This window comes from Homo sapiens, chromosome 11, assembly GCF_000001405.40.
Source record: "Homo sapiens chromosome 11, GRCh38.p14 Primary Assembly".
In the NCBI taxonomy this organism is placed as follows: domain Eukaryota; kingdom Metazoa; phylum Chordata; class Mammalia; order Primates; family Hominidae; genus Homo; species Homo sapiens.
This window is the reverse complement of record NC_000011.10, coordinates 56,045,996-56,060,409: the sequence shown is the minus strand read 5'-3', so window position 1 is coordinate 56,060,409 and position 14,414 is coordinate 56,045,996. Positions and strand designations below refer to the sequence as shown.

At 36.0% G+C, this 14,414-nt stretch overlaps 1 pseudogene, besides 3 other annotated features; it reads right to left on the bottom strand.

Moving 5' to 3' along the window:
• Positions 1,418-2,403: an enhancer, noted in NCBI's record as "OCT4-NANOG-H3K27ac hESC enhancer chr11:55825483-55826468 (GRCh37/hg19 assembly coordinates)". NCBI's record gives its function as "activates a minimal SCP1, AML or CMV promoter by ChIP-STARR-seq in naive H9 embryonic stem cells {active_cell/tissue: H9 hESC(naive)}" and the evidence as "EXISTENCE:reporter gene assay evidence [ECO:0000049][PMID:30033119]".
• Positions 2,404-3,389: an enhancer, noted in NCBI's record as "OCT4-NANOG-H3K27ac hESC enhancer chr11:55824497-55825482 (GRCh37/hg19 assembly coordinates)". NCBI's record gives its function as "activates a minimal SCP1, AML or CMV promoter by ChIP-STARR-seq in naive and primed H9 embryonic stem cells {active_cell/tissue: H9 hESC(naive and primed)}" and the evidence as "EXISTENCE:reporter gene assay evidence [ECO:0000049][PMID:30033119]".
• Positions 3,390-4,375: an enhancer, noted in NCBI's record as "OCT4-NANOG-H3K27ac hESC enhancer chr11:55823511-55824496 (GRCh37/hg19 assembly coordinates)". NCBI's record gives its function as "activates a minimal SCP1, AML or CMV promoter by ChIP-STARR-seq in primed H9 embryonic stem cells {active_cell/tissue: H9 hESC(primed)}" and the evidence as "EXISTENCE:reporter gene assay evidence [ECO:0000049][PMID:30033119]".
• OR5AQ1P (olfactory receptor family 5 subfamily AQ member 1 pseudogene) lies at positions 5,110-6,045 on the bottom strand (annotated as a pseudogene).

The window sequence follows — 14,414 nt, the reverse complement described above, 5'->3', positions numbered from 1 at the left end:
GATTTTTCTATGGGCCTGCTTTATTTTGTGAATTTTTACTATTGATTGTACTTTCTGACTCTTTGCATATGAATAAATGGATGATAGAAACTGAAAAGGATATTATTTTCCACAAGGGAGGGTTTTGCTTTTTCCTGCAGGCAGAAAGGATGAAGTGCTGATTGTATTAATTCAATTATTAATTGAGTTATTATTGCCTTGGTTTATAGATAGACCTCATTTTCTTTTTCTCATCACTGTTTCTGGGCTGTGGACTTCCCAAAGTTTTGATTAGGAGGCTGGTCTCTTGTCTCTGTCTCTCTCACCCCATCTAGCCCTTTAAACATGCAGGCAATTAAATTTTAACTCTTTGGAGGTGTGAACTCAGCTTCATTTCCCATACATCTTCAAACTGCGGTAAATATTTTTTCTTTTTAAATTTAAATAATTGAATTTTATTAGTTTTCCCAGGATTCTATTCTGTTTAAATATTTAACCTATAACAATATAAAAGATAAATTTGTTTTTAGTTCAAAGTTTTTTTTTTTTGTTTTTTTTTTATACTTTAAGTAGTGGAATACATGTGCAGAAAGTGCAGGTTTGTTGCATAAATATACACGTGCCATGGTGGTTTGCTGCACCCATCAACCCTTCATCTACATTAGGTATTTCTCCTAATGCTATCCGTCCCCTAGCCCCCTACACCCCAACAGGTCCCGGTGTGTGATGTTTCCCTTTCTGTGTCCATGTTGTCAGGCCTCTGAGCCCAAGCTAAGCCATCCTATCCCCTGTGACCTGCACGTACACATCCAGATGGCCGGTTCCTGCCTTAACTGATGACATTCCACCACAAAAGAAGTGAAAATGGCCTATTCCTGCCTTAACTGATGACATTGTCTTGTGAAATTCCTTCTCCTGGCTCATCCTGGCTCAAAAGCTCCCCCACTGAGTACCTTGTGACCCCCACTCCTGCCCACCAGAGAACAACCCCCTTCGACTGTAATTTTCCTTTCTCTACCCAAATCGTATAAAATGGCCCCACCCTTATCTTCCTTCGCTGACTCTCTTTTCGGACTCAGCCCGCCTGCACCCAGGTGAAATAAACAGCCATGTTGCTCACACAAAGCCTGTTTGGTTGTCTCTTCACACAGATGCACATGAAACATGTGTTCTAATTGTTCAGTTCCCACTTATGAGTGAGAACATGCAGTGTTTGGTTTTCTGTTCTTGTGTTAGTTTGCTAAGAATGATGGTTTCCAGCTTCATCCATGTCCCTGTAAAGGACATGAACTCATCCTTTTTTATGGCTGCATAGCATTCCACGGTGTATATGTGCCACATTTTCTTTAATCAGCCTATCATTGATGGACATTTTGGTTGGTTCCAAGTCTTTGCTATTGTGAACAGTGCCACAATAAACATAGGTGTGCATGTGTCTTTATAGTAGAATGATTTATAATTCTTTGAGTATAAACCCAGTAATGGGATTGCTGGGTCAAATGGTATTTCTAGTTCTAGACCCTTGAGGAATCACCACACTGTCTTCCACAATGGTTCAACTAAATTACTCTCCCACCAACAGTGTAAAAGCATTCCTACTTCTCCACATCCTCTCCAGCATCTGTTGTTTCCTGACTTTTTAATGATTACCATTCTAACTGGTGTGAGATGGTATCTCATTTTGGTTTGGATTTGCATTTCTTTCATGACCAGTGATAAGGAGCTTTGTTTCATGTTTGCTGGCTGCATAAATGTCTTCTTTAGAAGTGTCTGCTCATATCCTTGGCCCACTTTTTGATGGGGTTGTTTGAAGGGGTGGCTGCCCCTCCACACCTGTGGGCGTTTCTCGTCGGGTGGAATGAGAGACTTGAGAAAAGAAAGAGACACAGAGACAAAGTATAGAGAAAGAAAAGTGGGCCCAGGGGACTGGCGCTCAGCATACAGAGGACCCGCGCAGGCACCAGTCTCTGAGTTCCCTTAGTATTTATTGATCATTATTGGGCGTTTCTTGGAGAGGGGGATGTGGCAGGACAATAGGGTAATAGTGGAGAGAAGGTCAGCAGGAAAACCTGTGAACAAATGTCTCTGCATCATAAACAAGGTAAAGAAAAAAGTGCTGTGCTTTTGATGTGCATATACATAAACATCTCAATGCCTTAAAGAGCAGTATTGCTGCCAGCATGTCCCACCTCCAGCCCTAAGGCGGTTTTCTCCTATCTCAGTAGATGGAATATACAATCGGGTTTTACACTGAGACATTCCATTGCCCAGGGACGAGCAAGAGACAGATGCCTTCCTCTTATCTCAACTACAAAGAGGCCTTTCTCTTTTACTAATCCTCCTCAGCCCAGACCCTTTATGGGTATCGGACTGGGGGACAGTCAGGTCTTTCCCTTCCCATGAGGCCATATTTCAGACTATCACATGGGGAGAAACCTTGGACAATACCTGGCTTTCTTAGGCAGAAGTCCCTGCGGCCTTCTGCAGTGTTTTGTGTCTCTGGGTACTTGAGATTAGGGAGTGGTGATGACTCTTAACAAGCATGCTGCCTTCGAGCATTTGTTTAACAAAGCACATCCTGCATAGCCCTTCATCCATTTAACCTTGAGTTGACACAGCACATGTCTCTGCGACACAGGGTTGGGGGTAGGGTTACAGATTAACAGCATCTCAAGGCAAAATAATTTTTCTTAGTACAGAACAAAATGGAGTCCCTTATGTCTACTTTCTACATAGACACAGTAACAGTCTGATCTCTCTTTCTTTTCCCACAGTTGTTGGGTTTTTTTTCTTGTAAATTTGTTTAAGTTCTTTGTAAATTCTGGATATTAGCTTTTTGTCAGATGGCTAGATTGCAAAAATTTTCTCCCATTCTGAAGGTTGCCTGTTCCCTTTGATGATAGTTGCTTTTGCTGTGCAGAAGCTCTTTAGTTTAATTAGACCCCATTTGTCAATTTTGGCTTTTGTTGCCATTGCTTTTGGTGTTTTAGACATGAAGTCTTTGCCCATGCCTATGTCCTGAATGCTATTACCTAGGTTTTCTTCTAGGGTTTTTATAGTTTTATATCCCACATGATCTGTTCTACTATTTTGACTTTTTCCTCCTTCCTCTGTTTACTCCAGTCCTATCCTTTTTGTTGTTTTATAAGCAATCCAGGATACTTCCTACCTCTTGGAATTTGTTCTTGGCTATACCTTTTTTCCAGAAAGCTCTTCCTTTAGGAATTTTAATGGCACTCAGATTCTTACATCATATTTCTTTATCTCCTAAAAATTTTATCATACTAGTGACACAAGTTCAAAATCTGTGTCATTGTAAATGCTTTTCTCTCAAAATCAAAACAAAAACCACAAGTCTAATGATTTCTGAAGTCCTTTTGATGATTTTCATTAATTTTCTCTGGAATATGTCTCATTCTCTCTGTTACTCACCCATAGCACTTCTTATCTGTCTCGTAGTATTCTTTTCCCTATAGGTTCAGAGTAATTTTTCCCAACCTGTTATTTTACCTACCAATATTTTGATAACAATGGAATCATGGAAACTTTCCCAAAGCATATAATTCACATTTCATTTAGAGCTTCATTTATTAGCCATTGAGCCTTAAAACGTGTTATCTTATCATTAAAGGACTTTCATACATTTGGTTCTATATAATCTGCCAGCCAACCTTATTGTCTATTGAAATGCCTAACCTTGTTTTTACTCTAACTAACTCCTTACTTTGAATTTTGTCCTGCTTGTCTCTTTAATCACCTAGCCTTGCTTCTCATGTGAATAAGACTCTCTCTAGCTGGGAAGGCTGGACAAACTCCAATTGACCCCTGAATTTACAAGACACTAAGGGCTCCTTACCCAACCCCCTTTCCTAAGGAGTTGGCATGGGTAAACAGATCCTCAGCATTTTAAAAGAGCCCAATTAACTGATAAGGTACTAACACCATCTACGTATGAAGTTCCCAGGATTTTTCTCAAAGAGATAACAACATAAAGCCTTGAGTTCGTGTCCGTCCGGCATAGACCCTATATCTAATTATAATGAAAGATTTAGAACCTTGCACCTGGTACCATTGCTCTTCTTATAACCATTTGTCTTTTAAGTTGTTTATCTCTCTGTAACCATTTTGCTTCTTTTGATTCTTGCATGTTTTTACTTCTGTAGAATTATTGCATTTAAGTCCCCCTCCCCTTCCTAAACCTAGGTATAAAAGTTAATCAAGCCCCTTCCTTGGGGCTGAGAGAATTTTGAGCATTAGCCGTCTCTTTGGCAGCCAGCTTAATAAAGGACTCTTAATTTGTCTCAAAGTGTGGCATATGTTTTGACTCACTTGGGCACAACATATTGCTTTTGCTTAAAAATTCCATGCTAGAGCCAAACATATACTTTTTAATCTTTAAATAATCCCTCCCTTTTACCAGATTTATCCATTCTTCTTTCCTCTAACAACTTTTTGTTCACAGTTTAAGTGTTTTTAGGTTTATATCACACATACAAAGTGACTGGCACAGTAGAAGTGTGTTGAATGAGTAAACATAAATAATAATAAGAGTAAATTATAAATACTATAGTTTATAGTAAACCATAAATAATAATAAATTACTATGGAAAAGGACTCATTTCCTATAGCCATTTTTTCTAAGATACTATTAAGAAATGCAAATTAAAGACAAAATGGAAGATATTCATTTTTAATTGAATGACAGCCCTTTTAGAATAAGACATAATAGTATAATCTAAGAAAGTCATACCATGGGAACATGTGAATTTTTATCTGAAAATTTCCTCTGAGATGAATTAATAAACACCTATTGTTAGAGTATTACTTTGATTTGAATCAGTGACACCTTCTTTAAATCCATGGTGAGCTTTTTCAGAGTTCAGCATGAAAATCTGTTAGAAAAAAAAAGTCTCATCTTTTGAAATAATGATTTTATTAAGTCATCAACACAATAAATTGTGAAATAAAGTGATTTTCAGTCTTCAAGTCAAACTCATCATTCCTGATCCAAACTGTACAAGAGCATCTGGAGTATAGTTTTATTTATAATTGTTTGATATCATTTTAAAGATAGGCCATATATTTGCAGGTAAATGTTAGGTTAGCAAAGCTATATGCAGGACTGAGTCAAGTGGGGTTTTTCCCCCACCATATCAACCTTTTGGCTGCATCTTTTACATCCTTATTTCTCAGGCTATAAATAAGTGGGTTTAGCATGGGGATCACCAGTGTATAAAACACAGCCAAGACCTTCTCCTGTTCCAAGGAATACTGAGAACTTGGCTGGATATAACTAAAAGAAACAGACCCATAGAATAAGGTCACCGTGGTTAGGTGGGAGACACAAGTGGAGAAGGCTTTGTACCTTCCCTCAGCTGCATGGATTCTCTGGATGGCAATGATGATGCAGATATAAGACACCATAATGACAATGAAAGTGAACATTGCAATGAGCCCAGAGAAGACCAAGGGCAGCATTTCATTGATATGAGCATCAGAGCAAGAAAGCCTCAGAAGAGGAGGAACATCACAGAAATAATGATTCACAATATTAGGACCACAGAAGTCTAATTTGAGCAAACCTATTGTGTGTGTCAGGGAATTAATGAGCCCACCTAAGTAAGAAGCAAGGACCATCTGAATACAAACTTTTTGGGCCATAATGACTGTATACAACAAGGGATTAGCTATGGCCACGTAATGGTCATAAGCCATCATGGACAGGAGAATGTCCTTTGTGGTTACATATACTGCAAAAGGGAAACTCTGTAGAACACAGCCAGAAAATGTACTGGACTTATGTTTTGATAGGAAATTGACTAGCATCTTAGGAGCAAAGACAGTAGAGTAGCAGATATCACAAAAGGAGAGGTTGCCAAGGAAGAAGTACATTGGAGTATGAAGTTGGGCATTTAACCAGATTAAAATAATTATACCCAAATTATCCAACAAAGTGATGAAATAAATCAGAGTGACAAGCAAAAAGAGTGGGATCTGCAAATTAGGATTTTCAGTTAACCCTACCAGGAGGAATTCCTTTGCACCTGTATGATTCCAGCCTCTCGTTTTTACTCAGGTATATATAATTCCTTAGTTGCAGAACAAGATATTACTCTGATGGAAAAGGAATGATTCCTTCATGATCCAGTATCCAGAACAGCATGGGACATTTAGGGTTACCCTGTACTTAAATAAAGAAAGAACATTTACTTTAGAAGTGGCTCATATATGTGCTAGACAATCTATGTATAGTGATTCAAATTTTTGGTACTAGAGATTGTTTTATTCCTTGGTTTTTAGTTTTCACATCACAAAATGTGGGAGGGGGGTAAGAAAGCTCTTATATTTCAAAACTATTAAAGGTAGAATTAACATTTAAATCCCGATGTGACTGGTAGCAAATCTCAAGTAGAATGAGTAGAATGTCCACTCATCCTATGACATATATAAGCCTTCTGCTAATGTGGGTTACAAACAGGAGCATCTAGTGACAACAAATCTTCCCTTGTTCCGTGACTAACCTGTCCCTATTATTTCATACCCATTTAAGCTCATGAAAATGAGTTTCATCAAATGCAGCCCCATTTCTTTCCAAATCTCAACCTTAGACCTCTTTTTGCCTCACCTTCTGCCCTGATTGCCAACGTGAAAGAGCAATGATTGTGCCCTCCAGTAAAATTGAGTTGAGAGAAAAAGGCAGGTCATTCCTTTTATTTGCTATTTAGTATTAAGGCTGATCAAAAATAGCAGTGTTAACTCTACAACCTTTTCTTTTGCAGCTTTGTGTAACTTTGCTTTTGCATCTTGTTTTTTACCAGCATTGAAACAAACCTGAACACCCATTATAAAGAGTCGAGGTATAGTGTGAGGCACCAAAACTATATCTATTGTATGTTTCTTGTTTGCAAAATCATAGACTGCCACTTAGTTTCACATGTTTTTGACATGATGTGCTACAAATTCAATAACATTTACTTATTTATTTATTTATTTATTTATTTATTTATTTACTGGTATTTTTAGTAGAGATAGGTTTCACCATGTTGGCCGGGCTGATCTCGAACTCCTAACCTCAGGTGATCTGCCTGCCTTGGCCCCCCAAAGTCCTGGGATTACAGGCATGAGCCACTGTGCCCAGCCTTACTACTATTATTTTTTTAGACAGGGCCTCACTCTGTCACCCAGGCTGGAGTGCAATGGTGTGATCTCGGCTCACTGCAACCTCTGCCTTCCAGGTTCAAGCGATTCTCCTGCCTCAGCCTACTGAGTAGCTGGGACTACAGGCGTTTGCCACCATGCATGGCTAATTTTTGTATTCTTAGTAGAGACGGGGGTTTCACCATGCCGGCCAGGCTTGTCTCAAACTCTTGACCTCGTGATCCACCTGTCTCGGCCTCCCAAAGTGCTAGGATTACAGGCGTGAGCCACTACACCCTGACAATTGAACATTTGTAATGAAATATCAACAATTTAATTCATTCACATATATATCATGCATTCGATAAACATGTATTTCTACTCTAGCAAGAAATATTCTATTTGCTAGAGATAAAACGTGAAAAAGACAATTGTCATGCTTTCAAGGAGCTCACATTCAGTTAAGAAAATAAACATGTCTTGATATACTGTATAAAATGATAAGAACTATGAAGAAAAATAAATAAGGAAAGGTGAATAGAAAGAGGTGGTAGGTACTCTATTATATGTGTATACGTTTTCTATTGCTGCTATAACAAGTTACCCCCAAATGAGAGGCTTAAAACAATAACTGATTATCTTACAGTTTGGAGGTCAGAAGCCAGAAATCAGTTTGCTGGGTCAAACTCAAGTGTGCGTGGGGCCACACTTCTTCTGAAGGCTTTAGGAGAGACTCTGTTTTACTGCCTTTTCAAGCTTCATGAACAGTGCTATTTTGGCCCCTTCTATCTTCAAAGACAGCAGCGTAGCACTTTCATTAGTCATCACACTGCTTTCTTCTTCTATAGAAAAATCTCCCTTTGCCTCCCTCTCACATTTAGTATTTACCCAGATAATCCCAAGTAATCTCCCTTCCTCAAAATCCTTGACTGACTCATCTCTGAAAAGTATTTTCTGTTATATAAGGTAGCATTCACAGGTATGGGATTAGGATTTGAATATCACAGGGGCCACCGTTTAGTCTACTACATATAGGTTGTTCAAAAAACCTCTATATAAGATGAAATCTGAACAGAAAGCTGATGTAAGTGGTTTGACTAAATATGTGGCTATCTACAGAAAGACTTTTTTAGGAAGATGGCACAGCAAGTTCAAAATCCTGAGGTGGGATCATGTTGAACAAGAAACTTCTGGAGATTGACTGAACTGCAGAGAACAAGATGGAGAGTGGCCAGTGGGGAATAAGAGATGCTGTGTTTATGACACCTTGCCTTGTTTGAGGTTTGGATGCTTTCTCAGTGAGATGGGAAGTTGCTTTGCATATATACTCTATTACATAGTGTTTAACTGTGTAATAGGATCCACATATTTGACTTATATTTTACACCTCTGAGAATAAATCTCAGCAAGGCAAGAGCAGAAACAGGGAGGCTATCTAGGAGGCTATTTCAGTTATCCACTGGAGAGATGACTATGTCTTACATTAAGGTGGCAGTAGGAAAAACTATAAGGAGTGACTCTATTCAGTAACCATTTTGAGGTAGGAACCAAAAAGATGGAGAGTTGAACATGAAATAAAATATTATTCTAAGGGCATGTGTGTGTGTGTGTTTGTGTATATTTTTTGAATGAGGTTGTTATTTTCCAAGATGTAGGAGACATGAGAGAATGTATTTGGCAAAACTTTTTTTAAAATTAGATCTATTACTTCGGGAATTATACAGATTGGGTTGGAATTTAGTATTTGATTGTAAGATGTAAAAGTCTTGAACTTGAAAAGATACAAATTTGGAGATGATCTAATAAGTGTCATGACCAAATCTGGATCTTTGCTTAAAAATGTGAAATCACTTCATAGTAATTGCTTTTTAATTCATGACTCCAAGGGAACATTTGAAAATATGCAATCATCATTCATCAATAAAACAATTGGAGATAAGGTTGGTGAGAGAAATCACAAAGTTAAAGGCATTTTTTATTATATTAAAAAGGGAATCTAGCCAAATGCCCATCAAATGAGTTAAGGATTTTTAAAATAAAACTCTGTACTATAATTTTGTTAACCAAACCTGAAATAGCTCACTATATGCCCTCAAGGAGGTTGGCTCATAAAATGTGGTTATGATGACATAATATTTATAGATGAATTTATTATAAATAGTGCATGTAAATACTGTATTTCATGTACTGTTAATTTTATTATAGAATATTTTGTAGAAATAAGTATGTAACTGATTAAACATATGAAACATATTACATATGTAAATTCATGATATACTTTCTTAAGAATATACATGCACTTATACTTTTAAAACAGTATGTACTGAAGATTTATGTATAAAAACTGTTTGTAAGACAAAAATGGCCAAAAGTAAAATATGCAAAATAAATAAAAATTTGACAAACAGCAATAACAAAATTGTAAAAATACACCATCAAAAAATGGTCTTTTTGAAGTCTATTTTATGCAGGCACTCTAAAATTGTAGTGGAAAGAATGAACAATTTGTTATAGTAAAAAAAGTCCTGGGCTCTGGGAATAAAGTATCTGTGTGGATGTCCTGGTTTTGTTAAACACAAGATGTAGTGAAAAATAATCAGAGAAAACATAAACTAGTTCTTACAATGTTATATTGATATCATAAAAGAACATTACATCTATGTGATTTCCAAAGACTGTCATGTATAAAATGGGGAAGATGTTCTTTTCCTTGTCATGTAGTTAACATGCATTGCAATTCAATTATATTACATTATTATACATTATATTATTATACTATTTATTATATAATATATTATGCGATATAATTATATACAATAATTATATAAAACAGTATATATTATAATAATTATATAATATAATAATTATTATACATTGTTATAACTCCCATTATCCCAAAGCAGTATTAGACACATAATACAATGTAGGGAATTCACATATGTTTCACATGATTTATTGATTTTTACATAAGGTTGATGAATTATTTGTATGCTTGGATGCTGTTAAGTTCTGTTGTTAGAATTGTAACAGGAAAGCAGAGTGTTATATGCAAATAAATGAAATAATAAAGTTAAATTGTACAAGTAGCTCTAAGTTACTATATAAACTAAGTATTAAATACCATAAACATCCACACACAAAAAAATATTGGTTATAGGTGTTATGTAAATATTGCCCTTTTTCGTGAAATGAGAAGACCATTGAAAAATAAACAAACTACAGTTTAAGAAATTGTTTTCTGGCTGTTCAGAAGCAATGCTAAGATCATACAGTCAGTAACAGATTATTCTAGCTTGAAGAGGTAACAGGAAATAACAGAAGTGTAAAAGAAACTTGCACTACCACTTCCTAAACATACTCACAACTAAGAGGAGTCCACAGATATTCTAGCATGAGGAGGTAACAGGGATTAAGAGAAGTGTAAAAAAAAACTTACACTACCACTTCCTAAACATACTCACAAATAAGAGGAGTCCAAATTAAGCAGAGCACCTAGTGCAGACAACCAGGATTTCATGATGGTTAAAGGACTTATTGTTGGGAATAGAGACTTTTTATGTGTAGTTTCTTTTCACTGGGGACACAGGCTGCAGCTTATTGTGCAGATGTGAGTCTTCAGTGTCCACCAGTTGCATCATTGGCATCCTTTCTTGTCTCCTGAGACTGGAACTAATCATAAAGCTACACATTCTCTCAATCGTTGTTCAGTAGATGCCTCTGATTTCACATGGATAAAATGCGAAAATTTTATTCTTTTTATAAATGTGAAAATTATACTCAGAGACAATTTTTTAAGTATATTTTATTTATATATCAAAGATCTAGGGATAAAACCAAATTGCAGATATTAAATGCAATTGCAGGAACAAAATAAATGGTTCCAATCACATATTTGCTACTCAGACAAGCATTCAAATGTGCTAATGATGGAACAGCTGAAGTTTTCTTTCTTATAAAGTGGGAATATTCACATATTTGAAATTGATGTAGATTAATGCATCATGTTATACTCCAAAACTTTAATAATCTCTTATTGAATTAGTTTTATGAGTACGATTTTACACACACACACACGTGCACACACACACACACACACACAGGGAATTAATTGAATTCCGTGCTCTCTTTCTGTCTTATTTATACTGAAAATGTATGCTATTCTCCCTGATAACTCAGTAGACACTATAGATCTGTGAATTATGTCTTACACATTTTTTCTAACTCCCATTATCCCAAAGCAGTATTAGACATATATTACAACGTAGGGAATTCACATACATTTCACATGATTTATTGATTTTTACATAAGGTTGATTATTTGTGTGCTTGGATGCTTTTGTTAAGTTCTGTTGTTAGTATTGTAACAGAAAAACAGGGTGTTATATGCAAATAAATGAAATAATAAAGTTAAATATCAATTCAAATATTGTATAAAGTTCACAGAATGATGGCAAAACTACATATAGTGTGAAGATCCCAATAGACCAACATAAGAATGCCTTTGGATGCAAATGGAAGATATTGCTATGTAAAAAAGAGAAAAATAATTTAAACCCAGCAACACAGTCAATTAATGAATGGAGGTAGGGAAGAATTAATGAATGGAGATTAATTAATTAATGGAGATTAATTATTAATTAATTAATGGAGAAATAGAGCATTATTAAATGAAATCAAATCAATGGTACATGCTATAAACCAACCTCTTTATTATTTGCGAAGTCACTGTTACGGTAACTCAAAGAAGGGATCAGTCGGTGTCAATTGTAAGAAGAAAATCTTGTACGCTAGCCAGGAATCTCTTGGCAGATACACAACTTCGGTCTTTTGAGAGACATTGCCTGTAAGAGAATTTGGTAGATAGATGATCAGACTGATCATATTTGTGAAACAAATGTCAAATATATAATTCAGAAATTGATTTAGAGCTGGGTTATTTTTGAATTAAAAATATAATGTGATTTATTGTGTTTTTAAACAGTATTGAAGTAATTACGATAATGTGAAATTTACCATATTTATAGATTAATGTATTTAATATACAAAAAGTACTTATATTCTTGTGTTGATATTTTTTCTTGGTCAGATACATAAAAAGCTTAAGAAGAAAATTAAAAGGGATTTATAAATTCAATTTAAAATATTGAGTTTAATTAAAGATTGTATGCATTAGGAAACTTTGAGCCCTTGCGAAAGTGATTGTAAAGATCTGCTTGTTATATAATTAGAATAATATATTTGGCAACTTGAATCATAACTTAAAAAAATTTGATTATTGTGTTTGTTACAGTAAAACACTACCTGTTAGGTAAAATGAAATAGTTAATTAACAATGCATAGTCTTTTCTATGCAGAAAAGCCATTCTTGAAAACAACAAATTACTGACATCAAAATAAAATAGATGAAACTATTTGTTCAATATTTCAAAGCAGATTTACTATCTACACTGGTTAAATTCCTTAGTAATATTTTAAGTTTAGCATACTGATAACTTTTTGCTAATTAAATGCTTATAATTTCTGTACATCTAGAGTCTTACATATCATTGGTGAAACTTTGATGATATTGGATTAAAAATTTATATCTTAGTCTATGTCTCCCATGAAATCTAGTGCTAGACAGAAATAAACAAGGAAATAAAAAGAAGAAAGAGAGGGGGGCAGGGAAGAAAGGAAGGAAGGAAGGGAGGAAGGGAGGGACGGAGGGAGGGAGGGAGGGAGGGAGGGAGGAAGGAGAGGAATATAAAAGACCTAATTACAATTTCAGCAGTTGTATTTCTACTGGGTAGAGGTAACTAAGCTGATAAAAACAATTTGAGCTCTGCCAGCCATGTTATGCCAAAAAGCCAAAAAGATCACCCAGCTCCTGGAGACAAATGGATTATCCTGGGAAGCTTGGCCTGGGCCGGAAAGGTTGTTTTACATTAAAATAATTCTCTTAAGCAGCCAGGGTGATACATGCATCCTGACCAACATATACTGTTATGTGTAGATCAACATCGGCAGTCCCCTGCACTTGAGAAAAGTCCACGTGATCATCTTAAGTATTCATTCAGCACCCTTGGATATTTTCTTTTGCAAGAATCTTGGTCCCTGGTTCAGTAGAAGGGTTCAGTGTTGCCATACCTTTCTTCCCTGGGTCCACTATTCTATAGGTAAATACTTCTTTCCTAAGGCCCTTTTTAATTAAAATGATATAGATCACTGATCTAATGACCTGTAAATCACTATGAAAGCTGCCATTTTTTATTATTATTATTTTTCACTTTAAGTTCTGGGATACATGTGCAAAACTTACAGGTTTGTTACATAGGTATACATGTGCCATGGTGGTTTGCTGCACCCATCAACCCATCAACTACATTAGGTATTTCTTCTACTGCTATCCCTCTCCTAGCCTCCCACCCCCCAACAGACCCTGGTATGTGATATTCCCCTCCCTGTGTCCATGTGTTTTGTTGGTGGGAGTGTAAATTAGTTCAACCATTGTGGAAAAGTGTGGTGATTCCTCAAGGATCTAGAACCAGAAATACCATTTGGCCCAGCAATCTCATTACTGGGTATATACCCAAAAGATTATAAATCATTCTACTATAAAGACACATGCCACATGTATGTTTATTGTAGCATTGTTCACAATAGCAAAGACTTGGAACCAATCCAAATGCCCATCAATGATAGACTGGATAAAGAAAATGTGGCACATATACATCATGGAATACTGTCCAGCCATAAAAAAGGATGAGTTCATGTCCTTTGCAGGGACATGGATGAACCTGGAAACTATCATTCTTAGCAAACTAATACAAGAACAGAAAACCAAACACCATGTGTTCTCACTCATAAGTGGGAGTTGAACAATGAAAGCTGTCATTTTTAAGAGAAGGGAGGAATAAAAGTTAAGGGCAAATTTGTCCAACACTAAGTCTTTGCTGGCTGTTCTCTTGTGAACCTCTATAAAAACTTGATAGAGGTTAGAGAAATCAATTATAACATTCTGTTAATTCTATCTATTATGATAGATTGCTGTGATGGAATAAAGATGACTGTAAATTCATGGACACTTCTCAAGATGAAAAGTTGGATTTCCTTTGAATACAGGGTATCATTGGTGACTTGCTTTTTCCTCAGAAGACAACAAGAATGATGGATAATGTTTTGGGACCCCTCCCAGTTAGGACATGGGAGGCTAGCAGTGTCTGCTGTGATCTTTGGAACACTTGCTGCTTGACTACCCTAAGGCCATTTCTGGAAGAGAACATGTGGAAAGACCAAAAGGAGATGCACTTACACTAAAT